Here is a 16,824-nt window from a genome sequence, read left to right as displayed (position 1 = left end):
TACCAGGTATTTGCCTAATAATACAAAAAGTCAGAGCAAAAGATTCTCCTAAGACCATTTAGATCTTGCAGTAGAGGAGAAAATATGCAAAGTCTTGATTTATTTATTTAATTAATGTTATGAATCCAGGGTTTCTTTCTTTGGCATTCTTTGTGCCAATAATATGTATCACCTTCTGGATATCTTTGTCATTTGAGAAAGATCCAAATTACTTTCCTTAAATTAGCCTTGGGCTTAGCATGCAGGCATACTAGTAACTTCCAAATTTAAATATTGTAATTACATCATGTGGATTGTACCCTCTGGTATTTATGGACTGCAATCCATTTAAATATTTTAAATTTAAAGACAAGGCCACCTGTGTTGTGGATAGTTTTATAACTATAGACTTTACAGTGAGAGTGGGTACAGTTGAATGGTATCTGGTTAATAGCACAACCTGATTATTAGTATGTTTGAGGTCCTTTTTGGATAACCTGGACACATTGTCCAGAGAAAGCAGTTACGGCTGGAGAAGAAGCCTCATTTGCCTCCTTAGACTCATCTGTCAGTGCCTGTCCCTGGTGCCTATTGTGGTACTTTGGTGACTGTCATTTGCTGGTTTCAGAAACAAGGCTTGGCCATTCCAACAGCAATGGAAACCCCACACAGGGAGACTTCTTTGCAGTACAGTCACTCTGGGGCAGGGTCGCTGCGTGTCAGTGATTTCAGGTGGTAGAGAGGATAAGCATGCACGTGTAGGCTCTAGAGTCAGAGAGTCTTCCTAGATTCAAGTCCTGACTTCACCACTTACTAACTGTACAACATGGGGCAAATACTCAGTTTTCTCATCTGTAAAATGAGTATAACAATACAGTTGGGATTAAATACTTAGCATAGAGCTTATCATACTACACATACTCAATAATTATTAGCTGTTATTATTACCATCTCATTCAGCACACACATTAGTGAAAGAGACAGAATTCATGAGGCAGGCAGACCATGCTTTTGTTCTTCACCACATACGTAAAATCTAACGTGGTGTCTGAAACACATTGGCAGGTGTTAACAAATGGTGGCCATTTATGAATAAATGGAATACAAAGTTAATAAACAGCAACCCTATTTTCCCCATCTGTGTTCTAAACCAACCATGATAGAGGAGGAGGAAGATGGAGAGCCACATGCCAGCTCTATTACTGACAGAGCTGTGGAGGAGAACAGTGTGGTACAAGTCAGCAGTAGCCTCCTGTTACTGCCTGCAGAGTGAGACAGACTTTCTCTCCCACCCGCAGTCCTGGATTGCTCCAGCCAGGCTCACAGAGGCCCAGTTGGCTAAGTGCCCGCTGTATCCCATGCTCACCCCAGGCAGGCACATCCTCAACAGAAATAGGCAGAGCTCAGCTCGTGACTTAGGTCCTGCTCTGAAGTCACCAATCAAACACATTGGTTCTCTTTTCTTGGGAAGAAGTAAGGATGTGAAGAAAGGCCAGGGGTCATTCCCTAGTGGTTGGCCCTCACATGGAAACTTGCAGAAAGGAAAAGAGTCACCCCCAACAGTTGGTTGAATGAATAGGAAGTCTGGCTTAACCAAGCTATTGAAAAGATGGTTGCATCCAGTCTTATGCAGCAGACTGAATTCATTCCATTAAGACTAGTCCTGTTAAAATATCACAGAATCCACCTAGATCAGCTTGGAACACAGCTCATTATTATTGTGCGAGTTGTGGATGGCACACCTGTCCTTCCTCTTCCTTCTTCCTTCTCTTGCCTCCCTCTTTCCTTTTCTTGAAGCCCAGTCCAGACAGACATCTCTTCCTCAAGTTTTCTCAGCTATCCTAATCCAGGTTAGAGGTCTCTTTCCTTTTTTGTGGTGTGCATATTCCTATCAATACATACCACGCTGTCATGCAAATATTTGCCAACCTGTCCTCCCTCCCCCAAGACTGTGAGCTCCTGAAGGACCATGGCACACACGAGCCCTCTGATCCTGTTTGTTGAGTGAGTGACTGCACCCATCCAGCGTCTGTCCAGTTTTGTTCACTTTTCAGCCTTTAGTGTTTGGTTCATGAAAAGGATGTAGAGTTCATGAGGAACATTCAAGGTCTCCAGATGTAACCATGCTGTCATCTGTTTCTAGGCTAGGTCCCACTCAGCTCAAAATCTTCACTTGTGAATACTGCAACAAGGTCTTCAAGTTCAAGCACTCGCTGCAGGCCCACCTGAGGATCCACACCAATGAAAAGCCATACAAGTGCCCCCAGTGCAGCTATGCCAGTGCCATCAAGGCCAACCTCAATGTGCACCTGCGCAAGCACACTGGAGAGAAGTTCGCCTGCGACTATTGCTCGTTCACCTGCCTGAGCAAGGGCCACCTCAAGGTGCACATCGAGCGAGTGCACAAGAAGATCAAGCAGCACTGCCGCTTCTGCAAGAAGAAGTACTCTGACGTCAAGAACCTCATCAAGCACATCCGAGACGCGCATGACCCACAGGACAAGAAGGTCAAAGAGGCCTTGGACGAGCTCTGCCTGATGACGAGGGAGGGCAAGCGGCAGCTGCTCTATGACTGCCACATCTGTGAGCGCAAGTTCAAGAACGAGCTGGACCGTGACCGCCATATGCTGGTCCACGGAGACAAGTGGCCTTTTGCCTGTGAGCTCTGTGGCCATGGGGCCACCAAGTACCAGGCGCTGGAACTGCATGTCAGGAAGCACCCCTTCGTGTACGTCTGTGCCGTCTGCCGCAAGAAGTTCGTCAGCTCCATCAGGCTGCGCACCCACATCAAAGAGGTGCACGGGGCTGCCCAGGAGGCCTTGGTCTTCACCAGTTCCATCAACCAGAGCTTCTGCCTCCTGGAACCTGGTGGGGACATCCAGCAAGAAGCTCTGGGGGACCAGCTACAGCTGGTGGAAGAGGAGTTTGCCCTCCAGGGCGTGAATGCACTCAAGGAAGAGGCCTGTCCTGGGGACACTCAGCTGGAGGAGGGCCGGAAGGAGCCGGAGGCCCCTGGGGAAATGCCTGCCCCAGCTGTGCACCTGGCCTCCCCGCAGGCCGAAAGCACAGCCCTGCCACCCTGTGAGCTGGAAACCACCGTGGTCTCCTCCTCAGACCTGCATTCTCAAGAGGTGGTTTCAGATGATTTTTTGTTGAAAAATGATACCTCCTCCGCAGAGGCTCATGCTGCTCCTGAGAAGCCCCCAGACATGCAGCACAGAAGCTCAGTCCAGACGCAAGGTGAAGTGATCACACTACTGCTGTCCAAGGCCCAGAGTGCTGGGTCAGATCAGGAAAGCCATGGCGCCCAGAGCCCCCTAGGGGAAGGGCAGAACATGGCTGTGCTTTCAGCTGGTGACCCAGATCCCAGCAGGTGTCTCAGGTCAAACCCAGCTGAGGCCTCAGACCTCCTCCCTCCAGTAGCTGGTGGTGGGGACACCATCACACATCAGCCTGACTCTTGCAAAGCTGCCCCTGAGCACCGGTCAGGCATCACCGCTTTCATGAAGGTCCTGAACAGTTTACAGAAGAAGCAAATGAACACCAGCTTGTGTGAGCGGATCCGGAAGGTTTATGGAGACCTGGAGTGTGAATACTGTGGTAAGGAAAGGCAGCGCCGGTGCGTGGCCCTGTCCACAACCATCATGCTGTGGTCACCTCGCATTTGATTTGAGCTCATGTCTGTTTGCAAAGAATACCTTCTAAGTGAGCCATCCTCCTCCATTGTAGATAGGAACGGTGACCCTGTGTGGCCGTTAGCGCTTGGAGTCTTGTGGAGGTGGCCGGGATGGCTGCACAGTTGACTGTGTTGGCCTGGTCAGGTGTGTGTGCTGAGGGTTACCCATGACCTCTACCAGAACTCTAACCAAGAAGAATCTTTCTTCTGGCACATGACAAGTTTAAAGTTGAGCTTTAAATTGTGGCCAACTACTATATCAGCCAAGAGAGGTTATGAAAGTGGCTGCAGCTCTCTGTAGGGAGGTCCCAAATAGCACCCTGCAACTCACAATGAAAGCATGGCTCCTGGAACTCCTGGGGAGCTGGTGGTCAGGATATAGAAAATCCAGCTCCAGACCTGCTGTCCCAGGAGGGCCGGTAGAACTTAGAGATTTGTAGATTTATGCATGTGCATCATGGTATTTGGAGCCATAACTGGTTCTCAGTAAACACTGGCTTCCTCCTCTCTGGGCCCTAACATCATGCAAAAAATAGTAGCACCCTTAATATTTGCAACCTCCCACCTTTGAAGAGTAATTTTCAGACAGAAATGTGGTGAAAAGTATGAAGGGTGACCCGGACAAGCGCAAGAGGGAGATAGATATTGTAGATAAAAAATAATAATAATTTAAAAAATTCAAAATCAGTCAAAATGAAACTTCCTTGTTCTCATGTGAAAATATTTTTTTAGGCAAACTTTTTTGGTACCAAGTGCATTTTGATATGCATGTCCGCACCCACACCCGGGAACATCTGTATTATTGCTCTCAGTGTCATTATTCTTCCATCACCAAAAACTGCCTTAAACGCCACGTAATTCAGAAACACAGTAACATCTTGCTGAAGTGTCCCACCGATGGCTGTGACTACTCAACTCCAGATAAATATAAGCTACAGGCACATCTTAAAGTTCACACAGCACTGGTAAGTAGCAAGCCCAAGCGGCAGCCCCGTCTCCCCTGGGTGCTCATTGCTTTCTCAAGTTTATGCTTATATGTAGGTGTCTCTGCTGCAGGTCAGCCCTGAAAACATAGAGAGATCCTTCTCCTTACACAGCTGTGCACGTGGCAGAGGCTTCCCAGGTTCCTTTCACAGCAAGAGTCTCTAATACGTTGAAAAAAGAGATTAGATGGAATAAATTGTTTCCTGTGCAAATTTTTTTAGCATCAGATAAAGTCTACAGAAGAGATATCTATAGAGTAGAAGTAAAGTCAGAATTTCTCAAATGACATTTTAAAGAATAATTAATAGCAGAGATAACAGTAATAGCTCCTACTGAACGTGGTTGAGAGGTTGAATTAGATAATGCTGTACAGTGATGAGAACAGTATTTGGTTCAGAGTAAGAGCATAGTAGATGTTGATGACCACTGTTGTCACAGTTTTGTGTTATTTATTTTAGTCTCTGGGAGAGAATGTCTTTGAAGCACGTTTATTTTAAAAAAGTGAAATGTTAATTCAATATGCTGTTAATATTCACAAAGGTAAATTTCTTTAGGTCTTTGGTGGAGGATCTTGTAACACAATGAATGAATGCTTATTTTTGCAAATTCTAATCTAACTCAAGAGGCTGACACCTGAGAGTGATTTGAGACTTCTTCAAGTTATAAAGGAAGCACATCTGGCCCCAGGTGTGGTTCTGTTTTAATTGAATGCCTTTTTATGCTACAGACAGCAAAAAGTGAAGCTTCAGACATTTGATGTGCTACCATGGTTTCCTGGCATAAAAATCATAACAGTTTGTCACTAAGGGTAAAGTCAGGTGTTTGGGTGTGGTGAGTAGGTCAGAGCATGGGCTTTGGGGTTGGATACCTGGATTCAAACACTGTCTCCAACACTCTCACAGGCCCTGTGGCCTTGGGCAAGTCACTTGTCTTCCCTGAGACCTGTATGAAATAGCCTTCTGTATAAGATACATATTTTTAAAAAATCTATTTTATATACATCCACACACATATGCATATACACACATATACAGATGTGTATATACATGTATTTATACACGTGCTTATACACACCTACACACATACACTTATATGCATGCGCGCGCACACACACACACATATGTACAGTACTCTAAAGAACTTGGCACAGTCCTTGTCATGTAATTGACTGTGTACCGGCTATCGCATGTCATTTGGCACTTCTCATTACACATTCTCTGTCCTTCCTTTTCTTTCTGTCTCTCTCTCTTTGAGTAGCATGTGAAGGCATGTTGTTTGTAATTCTTCATGGAACCGCTGTTACATAGATACTGATTCCAGTACGCTATTATGGCCGGGAAAAGTGAGGTGGCAGAATTCATTAAAGTGATTTTGCTGGAAACTCATATGAAGTCGGGAGGGAGTGAAGCCAATATGAGAACAAGTTCTTGGGAGAAGCCTTTGAATATGGCAATAAAAACTAGGAAGCAGACTGCTGGGTTTTCACCCTGGCTCCCTATTTACCACGTGTTTAGCCTTGGGAAAAGTCATGTGACCTATTTGCCTCAGTTTACCCATCCTTGGATGAGGATGAAGTGAGAGAATAGATGTAAATGTCTTAGAACAGTGCCTGGCATGGAGCAAGCACTGTGTGTCATGGACTATTATCATTATTGATTCTACTTCTCCTTTTGGAACTTGCTGCTCTGGATTTAGAGATTTTGAAACATAGGCTGAAAAAATGACAAGAAAAGGGAAGTTGTAATTGAGCTTTACCACCTGGGACTGTATGTATTTTTCCATGCCCAAATCTTGCCTGCCTGTTGTGAGGGACCCATGGTTCAGCCCAGTGATTTTCTTACCCCAGCTGCTGATGCTCGGCCTCCTGGCCACATCCTTGGGCCTCATGATCAGTGGGGGAGTGTCAGGAATGTGCACTGAGATCTTTGGCCCCAGTCACATCTGCCTTCATTCTTCTTAATAAACCAGCATCTAAAGAGGTTTCTCTTTTCAACTTTCTATGGTTATCTTCCTTCTGAGAGGCTTATCTCTTCAATGTGAACATGTAGGATGGCATCTGGGGAAATACATGTTGGGGGAAAGGGAAGGAACAGCTGCTGTCTTTATCCTGTGGGTCAGCTCCTTGTGCAGTCTTAATTCTCATATTACTTCTAGGAGTTGGAGTATTTCCTCCACTGGGCAGATTAGGGGCCTGGCATTACAGAGTCGTTTGGTAACTTGCTCATGGTTGTGCCATTGGTAAGGGACAGAGACAGAATTCAAGCCCACATTCTCACCACTGCCTGGGGTTGCCCATTTTGTTGTAGTTGGTCATTAACAGCAACCACATGGTTCTTGGTAGGTCTCTTGGACACTTGTCCGTCATCTGAAGGAATGTGGTTGAGGCAGATGTTGTGCCGTGAGGGCAGGGATTGTGCTGATTCTTTCTGTGCTGTTAAGTGGCAGTTGTGCTTTATGCTACGATAATAAAATTTCTGTGCAACTAACTGCAGGAGAAGAGCAGTGTGCTGAATAAGGGGGTGTGACTCAGTTGACCTTACAAAAGAGATATGCTAGCCTGCTTCTCATTAGCTCTCACGTTTTCTTAGAAGTTGTAAGTTTAACTTCAATCTTTTCCCTTACTGATATTTGCAGTTCTTCCAGCAGAAACGCTTTTAAAGGTGAATGTGTTGCCGCTGCTTCCAAAGCCAGCCAGCGCTGGCTGGAGGCCCCCTCCTCTACGTGTCGGGCATTGAGATTTTCAAGTAGGATCTGGTCCCTGCCTTCAGGGTGCTCTTGGTTTTGTGAAGGGGGAGCTAAACAATAAACAGTAATGGCAAAATGGCAACGTGAGAGGGACAGTGACGTCAATACAACAATGTACTCTCCGCCCAAAAAAAATTTTCCTGGAAAGGGCCTGGGAGGAAGGGTTCTGAGGGCTGTCTGGAGGAAGGGGTTCTGAGGTTATGAGTAGATTTGGGCCAGGAAAGAGAGTGAGGAGGAAATTCCCAGCAGAGTCAACAGCACAAACCAAGGGGAAGCTATTTGTATTTACTCCAGGTTATTGAATTACTGAACATTTTCCATGAAGCAGGTGGACCATATTGCCAACATAGTAAGATAGCATGATTTATGAAAACAGGCTCCAGGATTTTTAGTTTAGACATTTGTCTTTTGAGCCTGCAAATTATTTTTGTAATGAAGCCAAGGGTACCAAGAAAATGTTGACGCAGTACAAAAAAAAAAAAGATCTGCTTTCCCTTAATGAAGACTCTTTTGATCTGATAATAAAGTTGCTATTGCAAAGTGTTTTAAATAGAATTCCGTATTTTCAAGGACAGTTAACGTGGATTTTTTTTGGTAACAGCTTTACTTTATCAAGATATATTTTACATAGCATACAATTTGCTCATTAAAGTGTGAAATCAAATTTTTTTTTTTTTTTAGTATATCCACGGAGTTGTGCAATTATCATCACCACAGCTAATTTCAGAGCTTTTTCATCATCCCATAAAGGAACCTGGTACCCATCAGCTGCCATCCCTCGTTCCCCTCCCTGAGCCCTAGGCAGCCACTAATCTACTCTCTATATCTGTGGATTTGCCTGTTCTTTCTTTCATATGAAATTTCTTTCATTTCATATGAAAGAAATCATAAAATGTGTATATTCAATACAGTCTTTTGTGACTCATTTCTGTCACTTAATTCATCCATGGTTTCCTTTTTACAGCTGAATAATATTCCATTGCATGGATACACTGCATTTCATCAGTTGATGGCATTTTTTTAGTGGTAATTTCACCAAGACAGTACCTCCCAACTACAGAGTGTTTTAAATCCACAGGATTCAATCTAATTCTTTGTGAAATCACCTAAGAAAGCATGGAGGTTAATTCTAGGAGGTTAAGTATTAACCTTTCCTTAAAGGGTTTTCAAAAATTATGAAGCATCTAAGAAAAATTCTGAAGCATCTAAGAAAAATTATTTTATTCACCACCCACCAGTATTTAGCTGTGTCATTGTCACTGTTTTGACACTTGTACCATTATTGCTGCCATGAAATGGATAAAACTGGGAATTTGAAGTTACAGGACAGGGTTCTGGCTCTACGTCTGTGGACTGTGCAGACTGCTTGGTCTTTATTTCCCTTTACCTGAAAGTGGAGTGAAAAATACTTCCCTGCTTTCTCTGGATGGTGGCAATGCTCCAGTGGGATAGCGTGATTGTGCTTTGTGATGTGAAAGTGCCTTATGGATGTCCATGTGGTTGATCTTAGGACTGTGATCATGGCAGGGTCTAGCTAGGTCAGGAGAATGGTGCTGTTCTGATCAGGAAAGGCATGGGACCTGGGGCGAGACCTTGCACCAGCGTGGGGCTTGGTTTCCTTACCTGTGACCCTGGAGATGGAAGCAGGTATTATAATTCTGGCTGCCTGGCCTTCTGCATTAGTTTCAGTGTTTACTGCTTTCAGCACAGATTCCCATGAAGAGCAGAAACAAAGGAGATTAAAAGTAGCCATCTCTCCCACCTGCCCTTCAAATGGGCCCATATCCAAGTTCTTTCCAGTTGCATCAGGACTGTAGGATAATCTGGCTGAGTGCCTGTTTCTGTGACTCTTAGAGCCATTTATTAGCCAAGGATAAACCTAATGATTGGAAAGAATGTGTACCTTTAACAAAGTTTCTTCCCACTACCTCCTTCTTCCAATTAGTAACTAAATAATGTCAACTTACAGTCAGAGATGTCTTGGCATTGAGGAAATATGGGGACCTAGTCAAGAGAGTTAGTCAGTGACATTTCTGGAGCAAATCCACTTTTAACAGCATTGTGCAAACTTTATAAAGGGGGCACTTGAGACGATTTTAGTAGGATGAGAGGAGGCTTTAGGTTCTGATGTGCCTGAGTTCAGCCCCGTATCTGTCTCTGTGATCTGGGGCAAATCCTTAGCCTCCTTGAGCCTCAGTTTTCTCATCTATAAAAACGGAGATAAAAAGTACTTTCCTCTGCCTCTTTGGGCTGTGAGGACTGCATTAGAAAATATGTACTGTACAGAACACCCAAGTCAGCATTCTCTCTCTGTCTCTCAAAAAAAAAAGATCCATTAGAAGGTCGTGAAATCAGTTTAGTGATTCACAGCTAGGATATCTTATTAATGAAACAGAATAAAATAAAATAGAACTTGTCAGCATTATTCACCTCTACCAAGGGTAAGTATTATTTTCAGAGACCTTTGTTTCAGCGTTTAAATGTTTATCTGTCAGTGTGTGTGCATGAATGTGCTGGGTGTTGCTGTCAGATGGGTGACCCCTGTGGGTCTCCTTAAATACATATTTAGTGGCCTAAATCACATAATTCATGACCTCCTCAGTCAGAGTCTCATGGGGATAATTGTTATGAATGACATTCCTGGGCTCCTGCCTCCACCATAATTTGAGGTGGGATCTGAGAATCTGTTATTTAAAGTTCCTTCTGACACAAAAGTGTGAGGCAGCAGGAAGTGCAGCATCTGGCAGATGTTTATGATATGCCAGTTTATTCCGTTTATTTCTGGCCTTTGTTGCTTCTCAGAAAACCTCAAAGATACCTGATGCTAAGGGTCTTGTAGCAGTTACAGTCTGAGCTTGGGAGTTGGTAAGTTTGATGTTACTTTCTGACTCTGGGACTTAGAAGTGGTGTGGCTCCGTAACCTAACAAATCCCCTGGAAATGAAGACAACAGGACCCACCTCCATGGGAATTTAGCGAGATGATGTTCGTAAGGGACACGGCATATAGGGAGGGGCCTGTCCAGAGTAATTCATCCTTCTAATCCTCCTTTTTAGTAGGAGGAGGAGAATGAAGAAGAGGAATAGTAATAGTGATTGGCGGTGGTGCATCTATTGAGTCTGATGGTCTCTCAACAAATGTTTAGAATACTTAACCTTTGTCATTGAGAAGTGCATAGTCTTTCTTTGGCTATCAAGGTACACATATTCAAAAGAAATCTTACATGTACTTTCTGGAGATAAGCTAAAATAATATATTGCCAACAAAGCACTGAGAAGGTAGACGAAGCTACTTTCAATCCTCTTCTGGAAATAAATGGGTACACCCGGTCAGTATGTGTACTTTTAAAGTAGAGGAAATGTTATTTAATTAAAATGATTGCACATAATGTTTTCCCTTCCCAAGAGCTATAAGAAAATGGTCTTTTCTTACTTGATCACAAAACAAGTTTGTTTCTGTGTTGCTCCATTTAGGTGTTTTATCCACTGTCCAGGAAACCTCAGGCTACCAGAGCAAGTTGTGTATAGAACAGCTTCATTTCAGCAAAAACTGAGATTCTAAATTGAAAGGGCATCACATGGCAAAACAGAACTATTTCCAGTGGAAAGGAAAACCCTTGAGTTGAAATCCCAAATCGAGCACGTTTCTGGCTCTCTTCTAACTTGTTCAAATCAGTTGCAATTTCAGCATCACTTTTCCTGTGCTTTGCTGCACTTTCTGCAGACATCCTCACTGATGGTTGGGTTCCACGTGTTGACACATCTCTTTCTTGATGAGCATTCGAGCGCCTGAGAGTCTCACACCTCTTCCTCATTGCAGCGCCTGACACATAACAGGGGCCCTGTAGCAGTTGAGGAATGAATGAGTGAGTCCATGGAGGAAAGCACATGCCATAACTGTGGCCTTTATTCCTGAGAAATGGTTGAGTAGAAACCCCCACCTTTGTTTTTTAAAGCACTTGCCGCTAAGGCATAGACCAGATGAGGTTTGCCCGGAGCAGAGAGCTGGGCTGTGAGCCTCAGGCTTGGGGCTGACCCTGCACCCCAGGCCATGCTGCAGCTTCGTGCAGCATCTCCCTTCTTTCAAAGGGTCCTGATTGCTTTGAAGGCCATTTCCGTCAGAGCAAACAGACTCCAAAAGCTGGGCTCTCCTACCGTCATTAAGGCATGGGTCTCTCAGACTCTCCATCTCTGCTGGGAGCTCTTTTAACCACCACTCTTTTTAAGTTTGCTGTGTCAGTCTGAATTTTCATCTCTGGTATGGAACTGAGGTTTTGAAAAAGAAGTAAATGAGTCCTAAGAGTTCCCCCCACCACCCCCGCCCAGTACCCTTTACCACCATCTGTGTCCTTCTGACAGTCTTCAAAGGCATCAAAAAATAAGGGCCCCTGATAAGCTCTGAGATAAATTGCTTTCTGACTATCAGAGATTAAAAGAAAAAAAATCAAATAGCAGAGGCTCAGGGGAGATCACCGTAAACTCCTGCAAAGCCCTTCTGAATGCCTCCATCAACTCTGATGATGCGGGCACCGAGAGGCAGCCAGGGGTGGTGGAGGTCTCCTCCAGGATGCCCGCCTGACCCGGGGCATCTCGCCCAAGGCCAAGGGCAGAGGAGGACAGTGACAGGAGTGCTCTGAGGAGCCCTGAGCCTGTGGTGTAGCCTGTGTGGGGATCTGTGGCATTGCCTGGCCAGAAAACTCAGGACAGTTTCTTAAGTGGTGCCTGGATCCCTTGGACATGTGTGGTTGGCTGTCGTTGCTTGGTATTCAGATGTTTGGTGGGAAATGCATCGAAACCATTTGGTTGTTCAGAAGGACTTTTGGTTGGTTTGGTTTGGTTTTGGTTTTTAATGTAAAGTACACTTTTTCTAAGTGTACGCTGGGGAACACCAAAGGAGGTGGAGGGTGCTCCTTCAGATCCCGCTCTCGGAGACTCCCAGGGAATATTAGCCCATGAGAAGGGCTGCTGTCTCAGGCTGAGTTGCATGATAGCAATGTGGAAACCACAGCAGCAAAGTCTTTCAGATTTATTGAGCACTCACTATAGGAGAGGCTCAATTCTAAACACTCTATGTCTTTTTCATCTCCCTTATCCTTCCTGTGACCCTGTGAAGGAGGCATTGTTTTTTATTTCCATTTTACAGATGATGAAACGGAGGCACTGAGAGGTTAAATCATTTGCGCAAAGTTCCACAGCTAACAAGGGGCAAAACCAAGATTTGAACCCAGGGGCTCTGAGCCCTGAACCTGTTCTGCTAGTCAGGGTCTCATAAGAGCAAGAGCTCTGGAGTCCAGCTCTGCCCTCGGTGTAGTGTGAACCTTGGGCAAGTTTCTAAAGGCCTCATAGGATATGGTAATGTAAAGCACTTTGCATCCAGTGAGTTCTTAAGAAGTGATAGCTCTTGTGCTTTTTATTATTTAGAGTAGGAGTAGACTGCCCGGTGGGGAGCACAGTGAGGAGAGCATTCATCACACAAGGCGTGGAACACACTTGGTGCCTTGGGGAGCTCACAGTAGGGGCTCCACAAGTAGAGGGAATTAGTCCTTCTGTAAATCCAAGTGAGCGTGGAGTGGATTAACTTCCCCCAAAACACACACAGCCCAAAACATTTCCTTGCAGTGGTAGTTCTGAATTTTTTGTTTTTACTTTTTATTCACCTATCTGCGCAGAGTCCTCCCTACCAGGGTTTGGCTCTCTGTAAGCTGTGGGCTTGGTAAGCTTGGCAATCAAAGTGCCACATGCTGGTGGTATAAACAGCAGATATTTACTGTCACACTGTCCTGGAGAGCAGAAGGCAGAGGTCAAGGTGTTGGCAGGGCCGCTTCCTCCTGAGGGCTGTGGGGGAGGATGTGGTCCATGCCTCTCTGAGCTTCAGGTGATTTGCTCTCTGTCTTTGGCATTTCTTGGCTGGCAGTTGCATTGCTCTGGTCTCTGCCTCCATCTGCACATGGTGTTCTCCCTGCATGCAGCTCTGTGTTCAAATTTCCTCTTTTTATAAGGACACCAGTCACATTGGATGAGGGCCCACCCTAGTGACCTCATTTTAACTGGATTACCTCTGTAAAGACCCTATCTCCAAATAAGGTCACATTCTGAGGTATTGGAGGTTAGGACTCCAACATATGATTTTTTAGGGGATAGAATTCAACCAATAACACCCACTCTAGGGGAAAAGAGTGATATGAAATCGCCCTCAAGTGAGCGCTGAGAGCAAAGGGAGGTGAGCAAAAGCCATAGCTTGGTAATTCACAAAAGCTTCTTCCTAATTGAGAATGTTACACCATGGTGGCCCTGGCTGTGAAGCTGCAGCAATGCAGGATGAACAACCTATCTGCGCCCCAGTGGGACACCGAGGGGCAGGAGGCATCCTGGGTGGGCGTCCGCACACTCTACTTCCAACACTGGCTCCTCTTCTCAGACTTTGGGCTTATCTCCTGGGCCTTGTTTTCTTAATCTGTAACATGAGCATGAACTGTGCCTATCTTTTGTGAGTGGTTGTGAGTCTCAATAAAATCACTTGCCATGCAATCCCTGCGTTGAGTGCTGGCGGATGTAATATGCTCTTGGGTTGTAGAGTAGCACTGGTGTGTGTGGTAGACCCGCAGCCTTGAGGTTGAGTACCACCTGCCTCCACAGAACTCTCCCCTCTAAGCCCCATCCCTTCCTTCTGAAATGGAGCTGATGCCATTCCCCCATTCCCCTACTCTCGAGCTCCCCAGGCTGTGCAGCGCCAGGTAGAGGGTGTATGTATGTGCTTGGAAGGATGTACTTTGTCTGGTTTTGATGAAGCTGATGATAATGATGGTGCTGATGAGAATGCTAGTGTTGATGATGGTGAGGGGGGTCGTGGTGATGTTGATGGTGGTGGTGGTGGTGGTGATGGTGGCAGTGCTGGTTGTGGTGGTGGTGATGACTGTTGATAGTGCTGGTGGTGGTGGTGTTGGTGGTGGTGGTAATGGTGATGGTGGTCGTGGTGTTGTTGTTGGTGGTGGTGGTGTTGGTTGTGGTGGTGTTGGTGGTGGTGGTGGTGATGACTATTGATAGTGCTGGTGGTGATGACTATTGATAGTGCTGGTGGTGGTGATGATGATGGTGATGATGGTGGTAGTAGTGATGGTGGTGATGACTGTTGATAGTGCTAGTGGTGGTGATGATGGTATTGATGATGGTGATGTGATGGTGGTGGTGGTGATGACTGTTGATAGCGTGAGTGGTAGTGGTGGTGGTGGTGGGTGATGATGGTGATGATGATGGTTATTTTTTACAGACCACAGATTTAAATGAGAAAGTCAACTGATTATGTTCTCTTTCTATTAAGGACAAAAGGAGTTATTCTTGTCCTGTTTGTGAAAAGTCTTTTTCAGAGGATCGATTGATAAAGTCACATATCAAGACCAACCATCCTGGTAAGGTTGTGCATTTTGGAGTGGAAGATTAATGTTAAAAATGCTTATGTTTATTTTAAAACAATGTTTTACATTAACTGCACTATATAGAAATAAAAAGGGATGAAGCTGTGAATATATTCATGGGAAACAAACATCTTTATTCGACGCTGGGAAGTTGATGTAATTATTTATTTCCTTTTGTTCTTTTATCTGGTCTTCAGATGCATCAACCCTCACCCCTGCAATTTCAGTGATACCCTCTGCCCCTTTTAATGGGAACTTTGCATGCCTTTCGATGGGTCGCATATGAGGCAGGGCTGTTGTCATAAGCTTGTGTTACCCAGAGTGGTGGTTTGTAAGGGGTGTTGGCTCCTGCCCAGGCTGAAGAGCATCCTTGAGTTGGAGAGACCATTACCACGGGTATTCTCATATTCCACACTGCTCAGGTGCATGAGGCACCAGCTACCTGGGTGTTCATACCTTGTCATTTCTGTTCGTGCCACCTGGAACATTTTCCCTTCTGCCCTACCTGGTTAATTCCTGTTCATTCTTTGCATTCTTCCTCAGAGCCCTGCCTCTGGGGAGGCTTTTGTAGCTTCCAGCCTGGCCGAGGGTCCACCCCGCACCCCTGCTAACGTCACACAGGGCGCACTGACCGCTGTGCTCAAGTCACTGTGACTCTCCAGCAACTCCCATGGGCTCCCTGAGTCGGGGCTTATCCCGCCTCATCTCCAGTGCCTCTACAGGCAGGCCCAGGAAAGCAGACAAGTGTATTGTGTGTTTTATGAGGGAGTAACAGGTACTTCTTCTAAATGTGCCTCTCCCTTCGTACATGTCTCTTTTTTCCTGTTCTTTATTTTGTATTTGCTCTTGGTATAAGGGAACTGACTCACTGATTATAAATGGAGGAAGATAAAGAAATAATAGAAGGGCACTAACACTCATGTTTCAGCTGGGAATGGACAGAGTTGTGAGGCCTTCGTCTGTGTGGGCTATGTGCTTCTCTGAAGGCCCAGCTCTGTCCTTCTCATGTTAACTCATGTCCTAAGTGACATGGGATCCAATGTGAGCCAAAGTTATTCTTAAAACAGCTAACCTTTGCTGATGAACAGATGTAAGACATTATTTTGTTATTATTTTAAGCTTTTTATTCCAGAAAATCCCAAAATACAAGAGCACACAGAACAATGCCAGGAACCTCCTGTATCTGTCACTTAGCTTCCACAGTTATCCACATTTTGTCAAACTCTTTTTCATGTATCTACCACACACACTTTTCTTCTTCTAGGATATTTTAAAGTATATTCCAGACAGCATGTAATTCCTCCATAAAAACGTTTAAAATGCATCTCCAAATAATAAGGATTGCTTTCAACATAACCACCATGTTACCGGTAAAGCAAATAGGATCAACTGTCATTCATTATTGCCACCTATTATCAGTCTGTTTAAAATTTCCCCAATTTCCCCAAGATTTTTCTTTTTAACTGTTGGTTCGCTTGAACCAGCATCCATGCATTTGCATCTAGTGGTTTAGTTCATTATGTTTCTGTTTCTTGTTTTCTCTAGTGTCCTGCTGTGCTTTTTTCCATGACATTGACTTATGGGGGAAACTGAGTCACTTTTCCTTTAGACAGTTTCACTTTCTGCATTTGTGTGGTAATTGCCTTGTGATGTTGCTTCTCCATTCCTCATACATGATGTTAACAGATACTGAGATCTGAGACTCGATTTGGTTCTGGTTTTACTTTTTAGGTGAAAATCCTGTCTCTGGACACCATGAGGCACACCTTGATTCCTCCTGTGGGTGCTGCTTAGCAATGAGGTTTATTTATGTCTAACTTCCCCTGAGGTGCTCTGACTCCTTTTGACATCCTGCTTTTCTTCTAGAGGTCTCCATGAGCACCATTTCTGAGGTTCTCGGGAGGAGGGTTCAGCTGAAAGGGCTAATTGGAAAGAGAGCCATGAAATGCCCATATTGTGACTTTTATTTCATGAAGAATGGCTCAGACCTTCAGCGTCATATTTGGGCTCATGAAGGTGAGTATTCATCT

At 44.8% G+C, this 16,824-nt stretch overlaps 1 protein-coding gene and 1 non-coding gene across 15 annotated transcripts in view, besides 2 other annotated features; one reads left to right on the top strand and one right to left on the bottom strand.

Moving 5' to 3' along the window:
- The window catches only part of ZFAT (zinc finger and AT-hook domain containing), a 354,552-nt gene that overhangs the window by 227,284 nt on the left and 110,444 nt on the right, over window positions 1-16,824 (top strand). For 13 of the 14 annotated variants that reach the window (NR_110323.2, XR_007060749.1, XM_047422062.1 and 10 more), the window contains 4 exons: window positions 2,123-3,579; window positions 4,388-4,620; window positions 14,701-14,788; window positions 16,661-16,810. Coding sequence is in view for 11 of the 14 variants with exons in the window: in XM_047422062.1 (XP_047278018.1) it covers window positions 2,123-3,579; window positions 4,388-4,620; window positions 14,701-14,788; window positions 16,661-16,810 (1,928 nt within the window). In the remaining 3 variants the exon portion in view is untranslated. Of the gene's footprint in view, window positions 1-2,122; window positions 3,580-4,387; window positions 4,621-5,193; window positions 5,327-14,700; window positions 14,789-16,660; window positions 16,811-16,824 lie in introns of those variants that run through there. The other variant, XR_007060750.1, reaches the window with a different exon arrangement.
- Window positions 2,705-2,854: an enhancer, noted in NCBI's record as "active region_28015". NCBI's record gives its function as "activates an Ori minimal core promoter by ATAC-STARR-seq in GM12878 lymphoblastoid cells {active_cell/tissue: GM12878}" and the evidence as "EXISTENCE:reporter gene assay evidence [ECO:0000049][PMID:35858748]".
- Window positions 3,035-3,294: an enhancer, noted in NCBI's record as "active region_28014". NCBI's record gives its function as "activates an Ori minimal core promoter by ATAC-STARR-seq in GM12878 lymphoblastoid cells {active_cell/tissue: GM12878}" and the evidence as "EXISTENCE:reporter gene assay evidence [ECO:0000049][PMID:35858748]".
- Window positions 4,367-6,985, bottom strand: ZFAT-AS1 (ZFAT antisense RNA 1). Its single transcript, NR_002438.1, has 2 exons — window positions 6,481-6,985; window positions 4,367-4,800 (listed from the first exon to the last, which is right to left on the bottom strand).

The sequence above is a fragment of the Homo sapiens genome, chromosome 8, assembly GCF_000001405.40.
Source record: "Homo sapiens chromosome 8, GRCh38.p14 Primary Assembly".
NCBI lineage: Eukaryota > Metazoa > Chordata > Mammalia > Primates > Hominidae > Homo > Homo sapiens.
The sequence above is the reverse complement of the archived record's forward strand: the minus strand, read 5'-3'. Positions and strand labels throughout refer to the sequence as shown.